The sequence below is a fragment of the Homo sapiens genome, chromosome 7 (genome assembly GCF_000001405.40).
Source record: "Homo sapiens chromosome 7, GRCh38.p14 Primary Assembly".
Lineage (NCBI taxonomy): Eukaryota > Metazoa > Chordata > Mammalia > Primates > Hominidae > Homo > Homo sapiens.
Genome location: NC_000007.14, coordinates 159,235,324 through 159,243,188, shown reverse-complemented (window position 1 = coordinate 159,243,188; position 7,865 = coordinate 159,235,324). Strand labels below are relative to the sequence as shown.

The window sequence follows — 7,865 nt, the reverse complement described above, 5'->3', positions numbered from 1 at the left end:
TGGCAGGTGTTTTGTTTGTTTTTTAATTTTGATATTTTAATAGGTGTATATTACTATAATTTTAACTTGTACTTGCCTAATGATTAATATATGTCCTTTTAAGTGAAATGCACATTTAATTTTTTTGTTCATGTAAAAAATTAGGTTGTTTTGCCGGGCGCAGTGGCTCACGCCTGTAGTCCCAGCACTTTGGGAGGCCGAGGAGGGCGGATCACGAGGTCAGGAGATCGAGACCATCCTGGCTAACACAGTGAAACCCCGTCTGTACTAAAAATACAAAAAATTAGCCGGGCTTGGTGGCGGGCGCCTGTAGTCCCAGCTACTCGGGAAGCTGAGGCAGGAGAATAGCGTGAACCCGGCAGGCGGAGCGTGCGGTGAGCCGAGATCGCTCTACTGCACTCTATCTAGCCTGGGGGACAGAGCGAGACTCCGTCTCAAAAAAAAAAAAAAAAAAAAAAAAAATTAGGTTGTTTTTTACTGTTGTGTTTTAAGAATTATTTATATATTCTTAGGACACAAGATTGTTAATAGGTATTTTACAAATAGTTTCTCCCAGCCTGTGCATTATCTTTTAATTTATTTAACTGTGTCTTTTGAAGAGCAGAAGTTTTAGATCTTGATAAAGTCTAGTTTATCAGTTTGTTCTTTTATGACTCATGATTTTTGTGTCCTATCTAAGCAGTCTTTGCCTAACCCAAGTTAAATTTGTTTTTGCTGTTTCCTTCTAGTGGTTTTGTAGTTTTGTAGTTCTAGAGGTTTTGTAGTTTTAGGTTTTACATTTAGAATTATGAATAATTTTGAATTAATGTCCACATATTGCTCAAGGTATAAATAGAAATTTATTTTTCCTTTTTAAAAAACATATGACTAGGCTGGGCGCGGTGGCTCACGCCTGTAATCCCAGCACTTTGGGAGGCTAAGGCGGGTGGATCACGAGGTCAGGAGTTCAAGACCAGCCTGGCCAACATGGTGAAACCCCGTCTCTACAAAAATACAAAAATTAGCCAGGCATGGTGGCACGCGCCTGTAATCCCAGGTACTCAGTGGGCTGAGGCGGAAGAATCTCTTGAACCCGGGAGGCGGAGGTTGCAGTGAGCCGAGATTGTGCCATTGCACTCCAGCCTGGGCGACAGAATGAGACTCCGTCTCAAAAAAATAAATAAGTAAAAATTAAAATTAAAAAAATGACTTTTCAGTTTTTTCCAGGACCATTTGTTGAAAAAAAAATCTTTATTTCATTGAATTGCTTATGTACCTTTAAAAAATATTTTGCCCATTCAGATGTGAATCTATTTCTCAACTGTTTATTCTCATGCATTGAGCTATGTGTCTGTAATTTTGCTGATATCACACTGTCATGATTACTAGAAGTCTTTCAACTTATTCTTTATTCTTATTTTCCAAAATGGTTTTGGTTAGTCTAGTTCTTCTTACTTTCCATATAAAATTAGAATCAGATTATTAAGTTTTACCCAAAAAATCCTGCTGGAATTTTGTTTGTAATTCCATTGACTCTGTAGTTTAGTTTGGAGAAAGTTAACATTTTAACAATATCAAGTTGTCCAAACTTTGAAAATGGTATGTATCTCAATTTATTTAGGTCTTCTTTGATTTCTTTAATCAGTGTTTTGTAGGTTTCAGCACATAAATTTTGCAAGATTTTGTTATATTTATATCTAAGTTTTTATATTTTCTTATTGCTTCATGTTTAAAACTGAAACATGTAATTTCATTTCCAAGTTTTAATTGCTAGTATTATAGAAATACAATTGATTTTGTATATTAACCTTGTACTGTCTGACCTTGCTGAACACACTTACTAGTTTCAGGAGCATTTTTATTCATTCTTCGGAATTGCCTAAAGAGGCAATCATGATCATACTACCTGAGCATAGAGATGGTTACTTTTTTAATCAGCTTTATTTTTCTAGAGTAGTTTTAGGTTCACAGCAAAATTAAGCAGGAGTACAGGGAGTTCAGGTTCCATGAACTCCCTTCCCCCGCACAAGCATAGCCTCTTGCATTATCAGTGTCCACCACCAGAGTGGTGCCTTTGCTACAATCAATGAACCTACACTAACACATCATTGTCACCCAAAGGCCTCAGTTTACATTAGGGTTCACTCTAGTTGTTTATTCTACGGGTCTGGTTAATGTACAATGACACACATCCTCTATTATCGTGTCATACAGAGTCATTTCACTGCCCTAAAAATCTCCTGTGCCCTGCCTGTCCATCCCTCCTTCTCCTCACTCAGTGGCAGCCACTGACCTTGGTACTGTCTTTATAGCTGCCTTTTTCAGAATGCCATCTTGAATGTCATTAGAATCAACGATATGTGGCCTTTTCAGTTTGGCTTCTTTCACTTAGTACTATGCGTTTAAAGTTCCTCCATGTCCTTTCATGGCTTGATAGGTTGTTTCTTTTTAGCACTGAGTAGTATTCCACTGTCTGGATGCACCATCATTTATGTATCCATTCACTTACTGAAGGACATCTTGGTAGCCTCCAAGTTTTGGTAATTATTAATAAAGCTGCTATAAACATCTGTGTGCAGATTTTTGTGTGTTTTCAACTCATTTGGGTAAATTAAAAGGAGCATGATTGCTGGATCATATGGTGAGAGTATGTTTAGTTTTGTAGGAAACCACCAAGCTGTCTTCCACAGTGGCTGTGCCACTTCGCATTCCCATCAGCAATGATGAGAGTTCCTGTTGCTCCATGTCCTTGCTAGCATTTGGTGTTGTCAATGTTCTGGATTTAGGTCATTCTAATAGGTGTGTAGCAATACTTCATGGTTGTTTTAATTTGCTATTCCCTAATGACATATGGTGTTGAGCATCTTTTCCTATATTTATTTGACATCTGTATATCCTCTTTGGTAAGGAATTTGTTCCCAGTGTTTAATCAGTTTGTGAATTATAGAGATAGTTTTATTTCTTCAATTCCAATCTGTGTCAATTTTTGTCCTCCACTCCTCCCCCCGCCACACACACACACTTTTTCATATTGAACTGGCTAGGATTTCTAGTATGATGGTATAATGTTGATTTTGAGTTGGAGAGGTGAGAGTGAATATCCTTTACTTGTTCTTCAACTTAGGATGAGAGCATTTAGTCTTTCAGTGTTAACTATAGCATTGCAGGCATTTGTAGATGCCCCTTGTTTTGTTGAGGAAGTTTCCTTCTAGTCCTACTTTGCTGGGAGATTTTTCTTCTTATTTTAAATTATGAATGGATATTGAATTTTGTCAAATGCTTTATCTGTATCTATAGGAACTCATGTGGTTTTTCTTCTTTAGTCTATTTACATAGAGAATAACTTTGATTGGTTTTTGAATATTGAATCAGTCTTGCATTCCCAGTATAAACCACCCTTGGGTATGATGCATTGTCCATCTTATATGTTGCTGGATTTGATTTGCTAATATTTTTGACAATTTTTATGTCTACATTAAAAAGGAATATTGAAGTATGGTTTTTTTCACTCTGGAATATCTTTGACTACTTGTTATCAATGTAATGCTGGTCTCAAAATGAGTTGGAAAATATTGCAGTCTCTTCCACTTTTGTGGAAGAGTTTTGTAGAATTGTATTATGTCTTCTTTACATGTTTGGTGGAATTCAGTAGTGAAGCCATTTAAGCACAGAATTTTCTTTGTTGGAAAGTTTTTAACTTTGAATTCAATTTCATTAATAGATTTGGGATTTCAGATTACTTCTTTTAAAGTGTCTTTCAAATAATTTCCCCTTTCATCTACATTTTCTAATTTATGGAAATAAAGTTGTAGACTGCATTCCCTTTTTTTTCCCTGTAATGACTGTAGAGGTCTTTGGTAGTGTGGTTGAGGACCCCTCTTCCAATACTGATAATTTGTGTCATTGAGTCATTTTCCTCCTCTTTGTCTCCCTTCTCTCTCCCTTCTCTTTCTCTCTCTCTCCCCTTCTCTCTCTTTCTCTCTCTCTCCCCTTCTCTCTCTTTCTCTCTCTCCCCTTCTCTCTCTTTCTGTCTCTCTCTCTCCCTCTCTCCTCCTTTCTCTCCCCCTCTATCAGTGTGGCTAGAAGTTTTTCACTTTTATTAATCTTTTAATGGATCAGCATTTGCTTTTATTGATTTTTCTCTATTGTTTTCTGTTTATATTTATAATTTCTTTCCTTCTGCTCTTTTAATATAGTCTCCTTTTCTAGTTTGTTATATAGAAATGTTGGTTTATTGATTTAAGACCTTTCTTCTGTTCTAAATAGGCATTTAATGACCTTTGTTTCCCTCTAAGCATTATTTCAGCTGCATCCCATGATTTTGGATATGTTTTCCTTAACATTCAGCTCAAATTTTTCTTCTGCTTCTTATTTGACCCATGGGTCATTTTATGAATCATTTAACTTCCAAACATTTGAGAATTTTCCAGAAATATTTCTGTTTCAGGAAACATACGTTGTATGAGTTCAATTTTTAAAAAGTTGTAACAGTTTGTTTTTGTCTCTCTTGGGAATGTTGTATGTGCTCTTGAGAAGAATATGTACTCTGATATTCTTGGACAGAGTTCTGTAAATGTCAGTGGGGCCAGCTTTGTTGATTGTGTTGTTCAGGTCTTCTGCATCCTGATTTATTTTCTGTTTATTTGTTCTATTGATTACTGAGAAAAAACCTTTAGTCTCCGTCTAGAATTTTTCATGTGACTGTTTTCTCCTTCAAGTCTATCAGTTTTTGTTCGTGTTTATGTATTTTGAAGGTTTGTTGTTAAGTACATACATTTAAAATGTTATATCTTCTTGTTGAATTAACACTCTGATTACTATAATTTCTCCCTTTGTATCTGTTTGAAATCTATTCATATTAGTACAGAAACTGTAGTTTTCTTTTGGTTAGTGTGTGCATGACATATTTTTGCTATCCTTTTACTTATAATATACATATCTATCTCTCTATATTTAAAGTGGGTTTCTTATAAACAGCACGTAGTTGAGCCTTGCTTTTTTGTCTAATCTAAACATCTTTGTCTTTTAATTGGTTTGTTTCGGCCGTTTCCTTTTAATGAAATTATTGATATGGTTGGGTTAAAAATCTGTCATCTGACTCAATGTTTTCTATTTGTTTTGCCCTTTATTTACTCCGTTTTTCATTTCCATTTTGGTCTCAATTTTACTGTTTTGTTTTGTGATTATCCCTATCAGTGCTCTACAAGTTTCTCAGAGCTGTTGTTTATTTCATTATTTTTGAAAAATTCTCATCCATTATCCCTTCAAACACTTCCTATGCCCTGTTCACTCTCTCTTCTTCTAGGACTCAAATCTCAAGTATTTCAGCCTGTTGGTGTTGTGCCACAGTATTCTGTTTCCATTCTTCATAGGCCGTGTCTTTCAGTGTGACTTGACTGACTTTTTTGGGGGGGTGGGGTGCAGAGGCTGTGTGAGGTCTGCTAATGAGCCATCTGATGACACTTCATCTGTGTTACTGTTTTAAATTTCTATCTTTTCTTTCCGATTCTTTACTATATTTTCCATCTCTGTTTAAAATTCACACTTTTCCTAGTGCTTTAAATATACTAACACTATTTTTAGAAATTCTTACCCAATAGTAGAACACCTGGGTCGTATCTGGATCTAATTCTGTGCTTTGTTTCCTGTCATATTTTCTTGCTTTTCTCATCTCGTACTTTTTGTTGAAAACCTGGACCATATGTGTGGGACGCAGAAGCTAAGGCATGTGGTGTTTATGCCTTTGGACAGACGGGCCTCTTGTGAGGCCTCTGTGTGGGGCTTGGATGCATCGGGGTCTTAGTTGAAACGGATTTGTTTTCAGTTTTGTTTCTGTTGTTGTTGCTATGCGGCCCTCAGGCCTGATGGACTTCAGTCTTGCTAGTGCTTCCTTGGGCTTAGTGTGGCAACTGGTTGCCGGAGGGCTTTCCCTCTGAGCCTGACCCTCAGGCCCGGATCTGTGCACTCCCTCCCCTCAGTGGTAGTCGGAGGTTGCTTTTGATCCAGCACTGGGTGGCCTGGTGGCTATAGCTGGGCTGTCCGCTCTGCTCTCCCTCCTCACTTAGCCTCAGGCTCAGGCAGGCCTGAGGCTCTTTCAGTAATCCTGCCCATGGCAAACGAACCCTTGGAGCTGCATGTGAGTCAGGTTCCCGCCTGTCTCCCAGCCTCAGGGGATCTGTAGGGGTCAGGACCCTGCTTGCTTTCCTGTCCTCCACGGTCTCTTTCCCCCCATTTTTCCCCCAGCTGCAATGGCTCTTCCCTGCGCCCTGAGGTCCTTGGGGTTAGCTTCACTTTGCAGTGGTTCTGGAGTCTTACCCCACTCATGAAAATCTCAGCATTCAACCAAATATTCAAGTGTTCTCCACTCTAGGTACCTGAGGTGCTCTCTTCTCTCTCTGTGCAGCTCACTCCTTTCTGGACCACCAATTCTGGCCGCCTCAGCCTCCCACATCTGATTTGTGTTTCCAGAGTTCAGTGAGACACTGGGCTCTGTGAGAGCCGCCGTCTCTGCACTGAGTCTGGAAGGCTGCCTCTGGGTAGGGGGGATCTCAGGTCGCTGCCCTTGCTAGCCTCTCGTAGGTGTTTCAGTTCAGCACACCACTCACTCCATACATTTTGTTCAGTTTTCTAGCTCTTGATGGCAGGAGGGCATTACCACAGCAGTTAATCTTTTAAGAGTGGAGACAGAAGAAACAGATGCATGTTCTCTTTATATATAAAAGTAAATAGTTGAAAAACAAAAATCTGCAAATCTAACCTTAGTCTGCCTTCCTGAAAACACATCCAGATTCCCCAGAGTCCAAGTCGCTAGAGGAGTGTGGGAGCCTCTGCACTGCCAGAAGCTCCTGTTCTAAGCTCTGGTGGCACAGCAGCACCCCCACCCCTCATGCCAGGTGTGACTCATTCATGCCGTCCTAGTTCCTCGGACACTGGGCCACCTTCTCGCTCCTTAGCCTTGCCAATTCCCTCTCACTCCTTGAGTCTCCTCCAAGAAGTCTTCCCTGACTCCTCCTGGGCCTGCAGCTTCTGGGTTGATCAGGGGCCCTCTCCAGTCATCTTGATACTTGTCCTCTGCATGTCCTTTCACTGCTCTTGATATGTTGTGAAACCTGCCTGATTATGTAGCTGCTCTCCTCACTAGGCCTTGTTCTTTGAGTACAGATCTGTGGTTTGTTAATCTTTAGATCCAAAATGCCTAGTATGTATTAGTTAGGGCAATGCCACATAATGTAACAAATACCCCCAAATGCAGGAAGCTTAACACAATGAAACTTTATTTTTAACTCAATTCACAGATAGTTGAGTGTGTTCCTGGTCATCAGAAGAGTGGAGTCTTTTCCATGCCGTTCATCAGTCCAGGAACCCAGACTGACATGGATTCCTCTATCTTCAGCTCCCGGTTTCCAGCGTCACCCAGGAAACCACATGCAGCCTTTAGGATGGAATGTGGAGCCCCCTGCATGGAGGTTTTCATGGCGCAGGCCTGGGAGAAGCACAGACCACTCTGCAGTAGTCCATTCCCAAGAACCGGTGCACATGTTGGAGGCGAGGTGAAAGGCAGCTGAGAAATGTGCAGGGCTCAGTGTCCCGGGGGCAGCCACCTCCGCAGGACAGGTGTGGGAGGGGGAGTGCGTCATTGCCTCCAACTGGGTTCTCTTCTCCACCACATGGCACAGAGTGGGCACTCAGCACATTGCTTAATGAATGAAACCCACTTCATTTCAGTGTCGTGACCCTGAGAGAGTTTCTTAAATATTTTCACATGCTGAAGCAACTGCAATTCTGGGGTCATTTGTGGAATACTATATTTATTGATGTAATTTTTCATTAAAATTATGTTATAATCATAAATATAAACAGTTTTTTAATTTTTAATTTTATTTTTT

At 39.7% G+C, this 7,865-nt stretch overlaps 1 annotated feature.

Moving 5' to 3' along the window:
* Positions 229–444: a silencer, noted in NCBI's record as "fragment chr7:159035435-159035650 (GRCh37/hg19 assembly coordinates)". NCBI's record gives its function as "represses an EF-1alpha promoter that drives an FKBP-Casp9 reporter gene in an ReSE screen in K562 erythroleukemia cells {active_cell/tissue: K562}" and the evidence as "EXISTENCE:reporter gene assay evidence [ECO:0000049][PMID:32094911]".